Genomic DNA, 16,934 nt, shown 5'->3' with positions numbered 1-16,934 from the left:
GCCAAATCAAATCACAGGAGTACTTAGAAATGAATAACCTTTGTCACTGCAGAGAACCAGAAAGATGGCAGCTTGAGCAGGACTGGACATGAATTATTGACATTGAAGATGAAGGAAGGGAACCAGGAGACAAGGAATATTAGTGGCCTTTAGAAGATGGAAAAGGTAAGTGAACAGAATTTTCCCCTAAGTCTCCAGAAAATATTGCAGAAAAGAATGCCTTAAATCTTGGTTTTAGCCCAGTGAGACCCAATTTGGACTTCTGATCTAAAGAACTGTTAAAAATAAATATATATTATTTTAAGCCACTAAGTTTGTAGTAACTTCTTATGGCAGCAATAGAAAACAGATACCCAGGAGCCACAGAAGAGTTGCTTTAGTCCCTTTTCAGAAATATCCAGTCTTCCCATTGTCATTTTCATTTATTCAGGCCTTTTTCTTCAGTATGTTCTTCCATGCAATTAGATTTCTCTGTCCTAAGCTGCATCTAGAAAGGAATTTTGAGATTTACTTTTCTCTTCATTAGAGAGCAGAATGATCTCCAGTACTTCCAAAGAGTTTTACAACTAATATATGGCTCAGCCAGATTAAAGCCATCCATGGAGAATCTCCCAAAAGACAGATTCAATCATTGTTCAGGTTACTGAAGTCAGTGCCATGCGTGTTAAAACTCATCTTGACTTTTTTTCCTGTTTCTCCATAGAGAAGACCCATTCTTTTCCTTCCACGCTTCTATGTGGCTGTTCTAATAAATGTCATCTTGAGTTAGCAGCAACTACATTTCTCACTGTAACTCCAAGTAAGGCGTAGTTAAATCTATGGGGAATCACAGACATTAATGTCTACTATTTGCATGATAAAGATCAAGATTAAAATCTTGGTGCCACACAATCAATTCTCTTCCATTTCAATTTTTTGGTGTCATCTTAAGAACATTTATCCAAATGTGCAGCTGAGCTAATCACCTTTTCAGGCCAGTCTAGCCACAGCTGACAGAAGGTTTAGGACTAAAAGAAAGTAGTGCTATAGTGGCTCTGAACTTTGTATTTATCATAACCCTTCTGAGAATCTCAGAAAGGGTCTCCCAGTTAAGAATGCACACACACACACACACACACACCAACACACCACACACACATATACAAGCAAAGTTCTGCATAAAAATTAAGTGAATTCAGATATTTTTGAAAACCATCTATGGACCCAGGTTAAGAACTCTTTCTTTAAGAAATTATTTTAAATAAATGAAATAGGAGCCTTGGTCATAGAAAGGAGCAAAGCCACTAGACAAAATCCAGAGCTACACACAAAAGACAGAGAGCTCTGGATACTTGGGAATGAACAAGATGGAAAAAAGTCACTCCAAATTTGTCAGTCAGTAGTTTAGTGCAGTACTGTCCAATATGGTAGCCCCTAGACATATGCATTTATTTAAATTTAAATTTCTTAAATTAAATTACAATTTCACCTTACTTGTACTAGTCGTATTTTAAATGTTCAATAGCCACGTGTGACTAGTGCTACTGAACTGGATAAAATTGTTGTAGAATAGTTTCATCGCTGCAGAAAATTTTATTTGAAACTTCAACAATTGGAGCTGCAGACTGCAGACTTAAAAGGATACCAACACCCTCGCTGACTCTTGAAAAATAATGGGTCTGATTGGATTGAGGGTCTTTCACTTATATAATAAGTGTCTCTCTTTACCTATATCTCTGTCTCTCTTTACCTGTATCTCTCTGTCTTTGACTCTGTTTAGGAAATTTGAAAAGAAAATTCGCTTTAAAAATAAAGGCTCTGGGGTTTGAATCTTAGCTCTATGACCTTGAACAAGTTACTTAATAATCACTGCGCTTAATTCCTCGCTTCTTTAAAATAAAAATAATAGTACCTACCATAGGGTTGTTAAGAGTATGCATTTGGAATATTGATAGAGCACTTAGATAAGCACCAGGCAAATAATAAAGACTCAATAAAGTTCAGATATAATAAATGCCCATGTATTATCTAAAAACTTGGTAATGTTTGCTTGACTATAAAAATTATCTCTCAAAAGATTTGTCATGAAATCTATTTATGTAATTCTAAAGTTATGCACCTACTTTCATATATATTATTTATATATTTTGATCAAATTCTGTATTACCTAAATCTTTCTATCCCTCAGGCAGTTTATTGCAACATTTAATACCAATGGCCTGCCAGTAGTGGCTGTTGCAGGGTTCAAGACAGTGGATTTGGTGGATCTGTCTCAATGACTTTGCACTTTATCATTAATGCTTACTGTAAAGGATTTAGTGAAAGCAAGTCTCAGATAAACCAAAGATGAAGAGACGATATGCTACTAGAATTCACATGTAGTAAAAATCAGTAAGAAAAAGTAAAGAATAAGAAAATTGATTATGAGGGATGAGCAGCCTCAAAAGAAACACTACACTGGCAATCTAAGCACCTTAATCCAAGAGACCAGCACAGACCTTCCAGAATTTGGGACAAGGATAGTAAACGAGGCCCCTGATTCCTTAAGATCTCATGAACCAAGGAAAAGTTGATCATGTTTAATTAATTTATTGATTAATGACTTCAAATTTGTGAAGTTTCTACTAAGTACCAGATGTGTCATGAGTAATCAGAGGACAAAAAGAAGCATTTTTATTTTTCCTTCCAAGACCCTTTAGCAAAGAACACATGGAAAGCAAGATGAGACACATGAGTGTACTGTATAGCTGGAGTTGAATGAAGGCATGCTTTACAGGTGGGTCCGTATGTCCAGCTTGTCTCTTCAACTGGCTAGCTTAATTCTGTCTATCTAAATAATAGTGGTAGACCATGGAAAGAGTTGACCCTAAACTTTCCTCACAGCAATAGGACAGGAGCTTCTGTAGCTTCAGAAGTATATGTGGGGGTCAAGGTGGAGAAGGAGTGGCATTGAGAGTCCTTCCCTTCTATGTAGTATTGAACTTCACTTCCATACTCTTCCACCCAGGCAGAAGATGGAAAGAAAGGCTGCTCTCTGAGGAACAGGCATGAGCATACTATACTCTTAAAGGATCTGAGCTGCTGAGTAAAAGCTGGCCCTTTGGACTTGTTTCTTGTGGGATCCACAGACTAGTCTCACTAGGATAAGAAACTATCTGCTATTGACCTTGAGCTGGGGCTCAGAAGAAGGGGCTCAGGGGTGAGTGGGGGAGGGGGACAATGATCTATAAAGTTCTTGTTTTACTGACTAGTTTTTGGTAGAATCACATACTCCCCTTGCCCCTTAATTCCCACATCTACAGTTAGAAGTGTTAGTTCTATTTTAATGAAAAGGAGAAGGAAATGAAAAAGTAATGCTTGCTGAGCATTGTGATCATTCTAGACTCTTTATTGGTTTTAAAAAACACGAGCAATGTAAAAACCACAAGCAATATCCTTGTGTGTTATCTTAGATAGACAATAAAAGGAATAATGGGCAGACATTTTAAAAATATTTTAGTCCTTTAATAATAAACAATCTAATATTTATTGAGTGCTTGTTCATGTTCCAGGCTCTGTTCTTAGCCATTTACATGTCCTATCTCATTTAAAGATACAAAAACCTTAGTGGAAAAGCACTATTATTACTGCTATTGCATGCACTAGAAAAACAAGGGTCAGAGAAGTTAACTTGTACCAGATCCCAAAACTAAAGCTTAAATATAGGTTCTGTGATCATTGTGCTTTGAAGTTCTGTTTGGTTCTAAAGGAGAAGATCAACATTTAGTCACGGGGCAATTTCTGCCATTAAATTCAAATTACAGGTAAAAGGGTGAACTGGGCTCAACACGCAATCTCCTCCACCTCTACCACTCATTACTGACCTTTACATTTTTCTAAGAACTGTCCATACTGCAGTCTTTGCCGTTCTGTGACAAGATCCTCAAAGAAAGCACTTCTCAGGCCTCAGATTTTTCCCCAACTCACCCAAAGTATGGTCTAGGAGACAAGAGTCTTTTCTGATGCGTCAACCACAGCAGCACGGAGATTTAAAACCAACAGCACCCTTGCCCAGAATTTCCCCTGGAGTGATTCTATGGAGACTTGAGCATGTGACTTCCTGGAGATGCCCCCAGGACCAAAGGCTACACAGACCCAGGCTTCTGAGCATGCTAGTCTACTTTGTCTTATTCCCAGAGGACCCGGCTTTGCCTAATACAGATCTATGGTAGCAACCCATCCAAACGCAGAATTATTCTCAGTCCTATATGAACGTGCATCACTAACTATATTGAAATACGATTAAACCCTAGTGCTTAATTTTAATAATTCTCTGTCTAAAAAGAAAAAGCTGAAAGAAAAATTTACCCTTGTTTCACACGCCATTGTGTTATTGTCCCATTCTCTTTTCTGTTTCACAGCAAAGCCTCTCAACATTGCGGTCTACAATCCCTGTCGATACTTCCCATTGTCTCCTCAATTCACTTCAGTGAATGTTCTTTTTCACACCACTGAAACAGTATGTGCAGATGTCACCAATAATCTGCTTATTGCTAAACTTAGCAAAAATGTGTCCTCTTACTCTCCTGTTTGTTCTTCAGGATTCAATATAGTAGAATATTGCTGCAATGCTGAATTATTTTCCTTTGTTGGTTTCTCTCAAATCATGTTTGCTTGATGTTTCCTCCTACTTTAATTTATACTCTTTATTATTCTTTGATTATATGTCTTCTTCCTAGAGCACTAAATGTCAGTGTATCTTTTATTTGATCTTTTTTCCTCTACTTTAACTCCACTCTCTCACTTACCGATATCATCAAATACCACTGCTTTAAATATCATCTACATACTGATTAACTACAAGTGTATATCTTCAGGCTACAATACTGCCTTGATCTCCAGATCAGCTTCCTACTTGATAACTCCACTGTAATACAAATAGGAAACTGAAATTTAACATGGGAAATACTGTAAAATGAAAACAAAAATAAAACGTTTTCTTTTCATCTGCTTAAGGTTCATTTCAGTAAATCACTAACCACACCACAATTCACCCAGTTACCCAAACTAAAATTCAGGTCTTTTCTCCCTCTCTTCTTCATATCTAAGCCATCACCACGGTACTATTCAGTGATTCAGTGTGCCATTTTGATTTTTCTATTAACACATTATTAGCTATATTTTCAGTTATTTGTCTTAGTAATTATTCTAAGAATTATAAAATCCATCTTCACCTTATCACTCTCTACTTCACATTAATATTGTCTAAATCACAGTAAAATATTTCAACTTTTCCACACTGTAGCCCCATTTTCTTTTATCCTTTATGAAATTATTTTAATACATATTCTACCTACATGGTATAGACCATATAATTGAGTGTCATTATTTATTTAAACAACATGTTTTAAAAACATATTTTAAAGATAATACATTATTTACATAAGCAGTCTTTTCTATTACTCAATATCTATCATTTTCAGTGTTCTTTATTTCTTTTTTTATTATCATACTTTAAGTTCCAGGGTACAAGTGCACAACGAGCAGGTTTGTTACATATGTATACATGTGCCATGTCAGTGTGCTGCACCCATTAACTTGTCATTTACATTAGGTATATCTCCTAATGCTATCCCTCCCCAATCCCCCCATCCCACAACAGGCCCCAGTGTGTGATGTTCCCCAACCTGTGTCCAAGTGTTCTCATTGTTCAGTTCCCACCTATCAGTGAGAACATGTGGTGTTTGGTTTTCTGTCCTTGTGATAGTTTTCTCACAATGATGGTTTCCAGCTTCAACCATGTCACTACAAAGGACATGAACTCATCATTTTTTATGGCTGCATAGTATTCCCTGGTGTATATATATGTGCCACATTTTCTTAATCTAGTCTATCATTGATGGACATTTGGGTTGGTTCCAAGTCTTTGCTATTGTGAATAGTGCTGCAATAAACATAGGTGTGCATGTGTCTTTATAGCAGCATGATTTATAATCCTTTGGGTATATACCCAGTAATGGGATTGCTGGGTCAAATGGTATTTCTAGTTCTAGATCCATGAGGAATTGCCACACTGTCTTCCACAGTGGTTGAACCAGTTTACAGTCCCACCAACAGTGTAAAAGTGTTCCTATTTCTCCACATCCTCTCCAGCACCTGTTGTTTCCTGACTTTTTCATGATCGCCATTCTAACTGGTGTGAGATGGCATCTCACTGTGGTTTTGATTTGCATTTCTCTGATGGCCAGTGATGATGAGCATTTTTCCATGTGTCTGTTGGCTGCATAAACATCTTCTTTTGAGAAGTGTCTGTTCATATCCTTCGCCCACTTTTTGATGGGGCTGTTTTATTTTTTCTTGTAAATTTGTTTAAGTTCTTTGTAGATTCTGGATATTAGCCCTTTGTCAGATGGGTAGATTGTAAAAATTTTCTCCCATTCTGTAGGTTGCCTGTTCAGTCTGATGGTAGTTTCTTTTGCTGTGCAGAAGCTCTTTAGTTTAATTAGATCCCATTTGTCCATTTTGGCTTTTGTTGCCATTGCTTTTGGTGTTTTAGACATGATGTCCTTGCCCATGCCTATATCCTGAATGGTATTGCCTAGGTTTTCTTGTAGGATTTTTATGGTTTTAGGTCTAACATTTAAGTCTTTAATCCATCTTGAATTAATTTTTGTATAAGGTGTAAGGAAGGATCCAGTTTCAGCTTTCTACATATGGCTAGCCAGTTTTCCCAGCTCCATTTATTAAATAGGGAATCCTTTCCCCACTTCTTGTTTTTGTCAGGTTTGTCAAAGATCAGATGGTTGTAGATGTGTGGTATTATTTCTGAGGGCTCTGTTCTGTTCCATTGGTCTGTATCTCTGTTTTGGTACCAGCACCATGCTCTTCTGGTTACTGTAGCCTTCTAATATAGTTTGAAGTCAGGTAGCGTGATGCCTCCAGCTTTGTTCTTTTGGCTTAGTATTATCTTGGCAATGTGGGCTCTTTTTTGGTTCCATATGAACTTTAAAGTAGTTTTTTCCAATTCTGTGAAGAAAGTCATTGGTAGCTTTATGGAGATGGCATTGAATCTGTAAATTACGTTGGGCAGTGTGGCCATTTTCGTGATATCGATTCTTCCTATCAAAGAGCATGGAATGTTCTTCCATTTGTTTGTATCCTCTTTTATTTCCTTGAGCAGTGGTTTGTAGTTCTCTTGAAGAGGTCTTTCACATCCCTTGTAAGTTGGATTCCTAGGTATTTTATTCTCTTTGAAGCAGTTGTGAATGTGAGTTAACTCATGATTTGGCTCTCTGTTTGTCTGTTATTGGTGTATAGGAATGCTTGTGATTTTTGCACATTGATTTTGTATCCTGAGACTTTGCTGAAGTCGCTTCTCAGCTTAAGGAGATTTTGAGCTGAGACGATGGGGTTTTCTAAAGGTACAATCATGTCATCTGCAAACAGGGACAATTTGAGTTCCACTTTTCCTAACTGAATACCCTCCAGCACACCTGAGTGTGTGTTGTTCCCCCCATGTGTCCATGTGTTCTCATCATTCAGCTCCCACTTATAGGTAAGAACAAGTGGTATTTGTTTTCTTTTGTTTCTGGGATAGTTTGCTGAGGATAATGTCCTCCAGCTCCATCCATGTCCTTGGAAAGGACATGATTTCATTCCTTTTTATGGCTCCATAGTATTACATGGTATATCTATACCACATTTTCTTTATCCAGTCTATCAGTAATAGGTATTTAGGTTGACTTCATGTCTTTGCTATTGTGACTAGTGCTGCAATTAACACACACATGCATGTGCCTTTACAATAGAACAATTTTTATTCTTTTAGGTATATACCCAGTAATGGGATTTCTCGGTCAAATGGTATTTCTGCCTCTAGGTCTTTGAGGAAATGCCATAACTTCTTCCACAATGGTTGAACTAATTTATACTCCTACTAAGAGTGTAAAAGTGTTCCTTTTTCTTCAGAACCTTGCCAGCATCTGTTGTTTTTTGACTTTTTAGTAATAGCCATTCTGACTAGTGTAAGACAGCATCTCAGCTGCACATGGTGGCTCACATCTGTAATCACAGCACTTTGGGAGATCAAGGTGGGCAGATCATGAGGTCAGGAATTTGAGACCAGCTTAGCCAACATGGTGAAACCCCATCTCTACTAAAAATACAAAAATTAGCCAGACGTGATGGTGCATGCCTGTAATCCCAGCTACTCAGGAGGCTGAGGCAGGAGAATTGCTTGAACCTGGGAGGTGGAGGTTGCAGTGAGCCCAGATTGCATCACTGCACTCCAGCCTGGGCAACAGAGAGAGACTCCATCAAAAAAAAAAAAAAAAAAAAAAAGGACAGCATCTCATTGTGGTTTTGTAGTTCCCTAATGATCAGTGATGTTGAGCTTTTTGTCATATGTTTGTTGGTCACATGTACGTCTTCTTTTGAGACATGTCTGTTCATGTCCTTTGCCCACTTTTTAATGGGGTTGTTTGTTTTTTTCTTGTAAATTTGTTTAAGTTCCTTCTAGATACTTGATATTAGACCTTTGTCAGATGGATAGATTGTAAAAGTTTTCTCCTTTTCTGTATGTTGTCTATTTTCTCTGTTGATAGTTTCTTTTGCTGTGCAGAAGCTCTTTAGTTTAATTATTTCCCATTGGTCAGTTTTTGGTTTTGTTCCAATTGTTTTTGGCATCTTTGTCATGAAATCGTTCCTCATGCCTATGACCTGAATGGTATTGTCTAGGTTTTCTTCTGGGATTTTTAAATTTGGGGCTTTACATTTAAGTGTTTAGTCCATCTTGAGTTGATTTTTGTGTATGGTGTAAGGAAGGGGTCCAGTTTCAGTTTTCTGCCTATGGCCTGCCAGTTCCCCCAGCACCATTTATTAAATAGGGAATCATTTCCCCATTGCTTATTTTTGTCAGGTTTGTCAAAGATCAGATGGTTGTAGGTGTGTAATCTTCTTTCTGGGTTTTCTGTTCTTTCCCATTGGTCTATATTTCTGTTCTTGTACCTGTACCATGCTGTTTTGGTTACTGTAGCCTTGTAATATAGTTTGAAGTCAGGTGGCGTAATGCCTCCAATTTTGCTCTTTTTGCTTAAGATTGCCTTGGCTATTCAGGCTCTTTTTTGGTTCCATATGAATTTTAAAATAGTTTTTTATAATTCTGTGAAGAATGCCAATACTACTTTAATAGGAATGGCATTGAATCTATAAATTGCTTTGGACAGTATGACCATTTTCATGATATTGATTCTTCCTATCCATGAGCATTAAATGTTTTCTCATTTTCTTTTGTTTTCCTGTTTCCTTAAAAGTCTCATAGGTTTTTGTTATAAACAAGGTATCATGGATATAATAGAAACCTTAGATTCTTAATTGCTTTTAAGAGACTTGCTGTGTTTTTAAATTTTCTTTTGTTTATTTTTAGTAACTTGTATGAATTTAAACTGAAATTTATCTTCTCAAAATAAATCTCTTGCACTAAGTGTTGCCACTGATCATTTCAGATCACTTATATTTCACATTCTTACACTAAGTATAACCACTGATTACTTTCAGATCATTTTATTTGTATTCCACTTTTTTAGCCTGGCTTCCTAGGAATCGCCCATGAGTATACACATCTTGGTGGTATGCCAATATTGAGGCAGAAATAGCTGTTAAATCCCTTGAGTCAGAAACATTTTCACTGATTGATTTGAGTGGTGTGTGTAGCATACATTTAATATTCAACCAGTTGTCAAGTCTCTGTTTGTTTTCTCATGCCAGAAAGCTCTCTTGAGTTTCTCTCACATGTTTGAATAATTTATCATAAAGCCATAGATGCATGGAGAACCCTTCTGTAACAATAATTTCCAGGTTCTCCCTGTAAAATGTCCTGATGACTCCTGCTTGCAAACTCAGGCTACTAAAACTGTGGATGGCGCTTCTTTATTTCCTACTGAGTTTTCCAGTCTTAGTTGACCAAGCTTTGCTTTTTTCTTTCCACTTGAAGTCGAGTCTGCATTGTCTGGCAGCACAACTGCTGGTTTGTCAACAAATACCAGCCTGATAAAACTACTGGTACTACAACTACTACTCCTACTCCTGCTACTCCTCTGCGAAGAAGAACAAAAATAAGAAGAAGGAGGAGGAGGAGGAGGAGGAAGAAGAAGAATTTGGCAATGGTGGGAGAGTGGTATTTTTCCCTGAAGTTGTAAAGGTTTTCAAGAATGAATGTTTCTCAACATGTTGCCTGCTTTAGTTAGTTTTCACAGTGTTAATTTTTTAAATAGTTTTTTTGGTTCATATCTTCCCCCTTTTTGAGCAAAGAGGATTCATTCGTTCTACTTCAGAAGAAATTTCTCTTCCTAATAATTATTTTTCATGCTTTAGAGTGTTTTGCATTAAAATTAAGCAAAGAAATTAGACAAACACTGGCAATACACCTTTTTTCCTAATGTAAAAGAAAACCAGACCTCTGATGCTAGTAGAAATAATCAAGCAGAGGAAAAAATTAAGTGTGATAATCTGGAAGCAATTAAAGAATATGTGAGGCCTTTGGCAATTAATTTATAATTTTATTAATAAAGAAATTTAAAATGAGAATAGTCAAAATGGTTATGTGACTTCCACTAGGCCTATTTGATTGTATAAATGCTGATGGGAAGGAGGGGGAATAGCTGGAGCTCACCAGTAGAACTCAATTAATAATAGCTAACAAGGAATGCTGAATGAATGAGTGGTTAAATAACTTTCCCTAAGTCCAAAAAGCTGAAAAAATTAAAACTGTGAATTAAAACAAGGTATATAAGACTCACGAACTCTATTCTTTTTACCATATTTAACCATTTTAGATATGGATAGGAAGACTTTTGATGGATTAAGCTCCCGATAATAGGAAATTACTGGGATAATATAGGAGTCTTTCTGAAATTGATTCTAGTGGTGGCATCAGTTTCTGTAGACATGGAGGAGTCAAGGCCTGATATCTTCAGGGGAGTTCAAGTCACCAGTTTAACACTCAGGGGGGTTGCATCAAGCATTTTGTGTGTTTTTAGTTCTATCCCCAACAGTATTTCAGACAGAAGTATTCACAATTTCTTATTAAAAATATATTGGCACAAATTATAAAGCCCTAGCTTTTAATGTTTATAGCATGCATTGTCTCTTTTAGGTTGTAATACACAGTGGGAAAGAAATGGGTTTAGAAATTAAAAATAAATGAATAACCTTCGGCCATATGATGTCAATCATGCCTAAACTAAAGCATCACCACAATAATTGTTTATATCTGACTTTTGTTTTCTGCTGTGATTATGTGAATATGCTTGTGATGGAAAATAAATGAGATCAAAAGGGCATAAATATGTGATAGAAAGGGTCTGTGAACAGTTTAAGGCCTGACCACACAAAGGCACAGGCTCGAGTAACCAGCTGTTCCTGTATTTTTAAGAATTACCTCATTAATGCAAAACATCCTTACAGAGAAATACATTAAATCAAATGCAAGAAATTATACATGAGGTATTGGAATAACAATTCAGAAAACCAAAGAAGTTCAGCTAATTCAAAGATCTTTTTTTTATATGTTCCTGATGGGCGGAGTCCAGACAATCATTCTATCCGTTCCAAACAACAGTAGACTCCAGCTCTGTTTCATGTCAAATTGCAACACTGTCATCACTGAGACTGAGACTGGCTTTGGAGTCACTGAACTGAACTGAAATTGGGCTGGAATTGTAAGTCTTACTTAGTGATTAAACATGATTCAAATTAGTGTGTGTGCGTGCATACACATGCATTTGTGTGCACGTATGTGAGTTCACACCTAAGACTATGCAAATAAAATTAAAATGAAGAAAAGTTTTGCATAAGTGTTGGACATAATAGAAGACAGTCTGACAGATAAAGGAAATTTTTAGAATCCTTAGGGAAATTAGGAAGGGATAGCTCAAGTGGCACTACATAACACCGTTCATGGGAGTTCTTTCAGAGGTGTTGTGAAATCCTTGGAGAATCATGATGACACCAGACAACACCAGTGGTTTGAGCAGTCTTTATAAAGGCTCTACATGCTAGTCTCAGGAAAGGAAAGAAGCCAAATTAATTCTGAACCATAGCACCAGGTTGATGAAGGTAATAAATATCTTAAAAGATTTTTTCCATGTCCTCTGTATAGCAAGCTATGTGTAAGATAACTTAGGGCATTTTTTATTAAATCCTGATGAAATTCTACAGAGAAATGTTATAAGGACAGATGAGAATAGTGTATAGAGTGTCATGTGGTGGTAGAAAGCAAAGATGGAAAGAGAAAGTAAAATGCAGGTTTTGTTATTAGGAGTAAAAGAAGAAGACATATACTATGGGGAGGAGGTAGTGCAAGGCTAGGCATAAAATAAAGATGGAATGGAAGAATGCATAAGAATTTCATTGGGAGATAGAGAAAGGAAGGGTCTGAAAATTAAAGAAGATTAAAAGAAGGAAGATGAAGAATGGAGATAAGAATGAAAAATTAAAAAGAAGATGACAGTAGAACACTGATTCAGGTAATGAAAATCAGAGTCAAAAACAGTAAAACAGCAGGGGTAAACAAGAATCAACTATTTGCATGGAAGAACAGGGCTTCAGCAGGTTCTCAGAACTTAAGGAATGTTAAAGATTTTTCAAGTAGGTCCCAAGAAAAACCCCCAGTAGGGATGAACCAGCTGGTCATTTCCACCTGAAAGCCACAAGAATTGCTGGGGATACAGAACAGCAGGCCCAAACAAGTGAAGGCTCTCACTTGACATTTAAAGAAAAACAAAACCCCTCCTCAGAGTGCAGGCAGAAGGTTAGGCAGGCATCACAAAGTGCTTTGTTTAGATCTGACCATTGTCATTTCTGGGAGGGAGGGGCCCAAATTTTGTTAGAAAGATACAACACAACAAGTGTGAGTGGACTACACTACCTTTCAAAAATTCTTCTGTGTCTAAGATACTCAAATCTGTAAAATAACTTATTAGCAGTCATATTTTTCTAACAGAAAATCCTTATACTATAGCAGAGAAACAGGAGGCAGAAAAGGTAGGGAAACTACTTGTTCTTGCATGCCTGATCTCACCCCAACCTCAGAGCTCCCAGACCAGTTCTTGAGATGTTTTTCTCTTTTCTCACAAGTACCTAGGTGAGAACAAAGACACCATAGGACCTCTCACAGACTCCCAATTTAAGCTTTTGTCTCTGGCCTCTTAGAAAAATAAATTTTTCTCTTTGTTGAAGATTTTTAATTCATCTGCAGAAGATCAGAACAGAGTTTGAGGGATTCTAAGACTTCTCCTGAAAGATTGACATTCAATCATCCATATTCACCCATTCATTGTTTTATGTCTTCATTGCACTAATAGGGAAAAATTAATAAATGCCTTACATATGCTCAATGAGGTGATGAACCATAAAATAGTCCTTTACATCAGGAAGTTTTAACTTCTAGTAGGAGAGATGGACATTAAACAAATACGTACGCAATGTTTAGCTATACTCACTGGAAAGAAAGAAGAGCCCACAAATGTGAAAACAGCATATGTGGAAACCTTAAGCTACTATGGATATTTGGAATCGGCATAATTGGGAAGGATAGCTAGGCTTTGCTTAGGTAAAGGAGAGCTTCACTAGGGGTGAAGAAAAACATAAATATCTGGATATAATGCATGTAGAAATTCTACATCAGGAAGTATCTCACTGGGACCCAGGAACTTAAAGACGGCAAATTTGGCTGGATTAAAGAGACTGAAGGGGAGAGTAAATGGTGTGAGTTGGTGCTGCAGAGGTAGGTAGGGGTTGAATCTTGCTTTACGTTGAAGGCTAAGATAAGGATTTAGAGCTTTCTTCTAAGTACATTGGGAACCCTTAAAGGAGTTTTGCTTGAGATGAATAAATGAGATTTATATTTGTTTTAAAAAAGTCTATTCTAACTGCCAAATGAAGAATGTATTAGAAGGCGGCACTCATGGGTACAGAAAGATCAGTTAGGGAGCCTGAAGGAACTGGGCTAAGTATTATATTATACTTTATGTGTGGTTGTTTATGAGCCAATAACTTTTATCTTCTTCTACCTACCTTAAAATAAGACTATGGAAAATTATAAACTGTTGAAATTTCTGAAGATTAAATATTAATTTGAATAATTTCATCCAATAATGTGTCATTTGCATATGTAATTCATTAAAATTATCCTTACAACAGATATCCAGGATACATTCCCTCTCTCTATATATATATACATATATACATATATATACACACACACATATGAACATATTAGATTTTAAAAAGGCAAAAACTGCAATTACTTTTGCACCAACCTAATACATTTATGCGTATGTATATATATAGAGTACCTATCCTATCGTATATACACATATATGTAATATATATTGTATATACTTCTATTTATAGAAGCATATATGTATATACTTGGAAACTGTATGTATCTGCATGTATATGTATCTATATGTATAAACTTCTGTATAGATATATACTTCTATATGTATATACTTGGAAACTGTATGTATCTATATGTATATACTTCTAAATACATATATACTTCTATATGTATATACTTGGAAACTGTGTGTATCTATATGTATATGTATATACATATGGAAGTATATATGATATATATGGAAGTATATATGATATATATATATATATAATACCCTTATACACATGGATTTATGTGGATGTAGGTTGTGATGACAGTGGGATTGTATGTAGTTGTGGGTGTCTGGTGATGGTATTGTGAGGTTTTAATGGGGTTTTAAAAAATTATTTAGCAATATGCTCTATGTTATTAAGATCTTGGTTATGTCTACTTCTTTTCTGCTAAAACTTGAAAACTATATGAGGAGATATCAAAGGAGATATCAAAATTTTTTACTGTCTAAACACTGGATGTTTACTCTTGTTCCCATTTTTCAAATAAAGAAATTTATTCCAAGAGAAGGGAGGTAATCACATGTGACTGTGTAGGAAGGAAAAAGACACAGTGTTACAAATATCATCTAAATGTTTTTTAACTTTATTCTTTCCTCTGCTATTCTACTATGCATTCATAAAGCCATTGTTCTGTCCATATGAGAATATATATTCAATTTAGGAGCTGTGAGCCAAGTGGAGGAGTCCAGCCCCACCCGATGGTGAGAACAACATGACGAACTTGAATGCATCACAGGCCAACCACCGTAACTTCATTCTGACAGGTATCCCAGGAACGCCAGACAAGAACCCATGGTTGGCCTTTCCCCTGGGATTTCTCTACACACTCACACTCCTGGGAAATGGTACCATCCTAGCTGTCATCAAGGTGGAGCCAAGTCTCCATGAGCCCACGTATTACTTCCTTTCTATCTTGGCTCTCACTGACGTTAGTCTCTCCATGTCCACCTTGCCCTCCATGCTCAGCATCTACTGGTTTAATGCCCCTCAGATTGTTTTTGATGCATGCATCATGCAGATGTTCTTCATCCATGTATTTGGAATAGTAGAATCAGGAGTCCTAGTGTCCATGGCCTTTGACAGATTTGTGGCCATCCGAAACCCATTACACTATGTTTCCATCCTCACTCACGATGTTATTCGAAAGACTGGAATAGCTGTCCTCACCCGGGCAGTCTGTGTGGTATTCCCTGTGCCCTTCCTTATAAAGTGCCTACCCTTCTGCCATTCCAATGTCTTGTCTCATTCATACTGTCTTCACCAAAACATGATGCGGCTAGCTTGTGCCAGCACCCGCATCAACAGCCTCTACGGCCTCATCGTCGTCATCTTCACACTGGGGCTCGATGTTCTCCTCACTCTACTGTCTTATGTACTCACCCTGAAGACTGTGCTGGGCATTGTCTCCAGAGGTGAAAGGCTGAAAACCCTCAGCACATGCCTCTCTCACATGTCTACCGTGCTCCTCTTCTATGTTCCTTTTATGGGTGCTGCCTCCATGATCCACAGATTTTGGGAGCATTTATCACCAGTAGTGCACATGGTCATGGCTGATATATACCTACTGCTCCCGCCTGTGCTAAACCCCATTGTCTACAGTGTGAAGACCAAGCAAATTTGAAGAATGATCTTTCAAGTGTTCCAGAGGCAAAAAAAATAGGGTCTAGTAGAATGGAATCATGTGTAAGAAGCAGAGTAAGTATCCACTGGAAGAATTAATTATTTAATTTTCCACAGTTATGGTGCATCAAATTTTGCACATCTGGGGAAATGCAGGAGTGGGTAAGGCTTGTGGGTGAAGATACATAACAGGTCATTATTGTTCTGTATATACTATATTTTGGAATGTGTGTATTTTGAAATATGGTATCACAAAATCTAATTTATTAAGTAGCTTCACACTTTTCTATGACACGGGAGATGAGCATCAGTGAGAACAAATTATCACATTTATCCAGATAACACTAATGTATGTTTATTCATAAAATATTTAGTTATATTTCACCCTTGGTTATCATTTTGCTGTGCAGAAGCTCTTTAGTTTAATTAGATCCCATTTGTCCATTTTGGCTTTTGTTGCCATTGCTTTTGGTGTTTTAGTTATGAAGTCTTTGCCCACGCCTATGTCCTGAATGGAATTGCCTAGGTTTTATTCTAGGGTTTTTATGGTTTTAGTTCTAATATTTAAGTCTTTAATCCATCTTGAATTAATTTTTGCATAAGGTGTAAGGAGGGGATCCAGTTTCAGCTTTCTACATATGGCTAGCCAGTTTTCCCAGCTCCATTTATTAAATAGGGAATCTTTTCCCCATTTCTTGTTTTTGTCAGGTTTGTCAAAGATCAGATGGTTATAGATGTGTGGTATTAATTCTGAGGGCTCTGTTCTGTTCCGTTGGTCTAGATCTCTGTTTTGGTACCAGTACCATGCTGTTTTGGTTACTGTAGCCTTGTAGTATAGCTTGAAGTCAGGTAGCATGATGCCTCCAGCTTTGTTTTTTGGCTTAGGATTATCTTGGCAATGCGGG

General features: G+C 36.9%; 1 protein-coding gene and 1 pseudogene across 3 annotated transcripts in view; one reads left to right on the top strand and one right to left on the bottom strand.

Moving 5' to 3' along the window:
* The window catches only part of MMP26 (matrix metallopeptidase 26), a 287,646-nt gene that overhangs the window by 116,744 nt on the left and 153,968 nt on the right, over positions 1 to 16,934 (bottom strand). The gene's annotated exons all lie outside the window — the stretch shown is intronic.
* OR51H1 (olfactory receptor family 51 subfamily H member 1) lies at positions 12,034 to 16,069 on the top strand (annotated as a pseudogene). Its single transcript, NR_171273.1, has 2 exons — positions 12,034 to 12,072; positions 15,071 to 16,069. The product of NR_171273.1 is annotated as an olfactory receptor family 51 subfamily H member 1 (transcript).

Source organism: Homo sapiens, chromosome 11 (assembly GCF_000001405.40).
Source record: "Homo sapiens chromosome 11, GRCh38.p14 Primary Assembly".
In the NCBI taxonomy this organism is placed as follows: Eukaryota; Metazoa; Chordata; class Mammalia; order Primates; family Hominidae; genus Homo; species Homo sapiens.
Note: the sequence above shows the minus strand (reverse complement) of the source record. Positions and strands in the feature narration are given on the sequence as shown.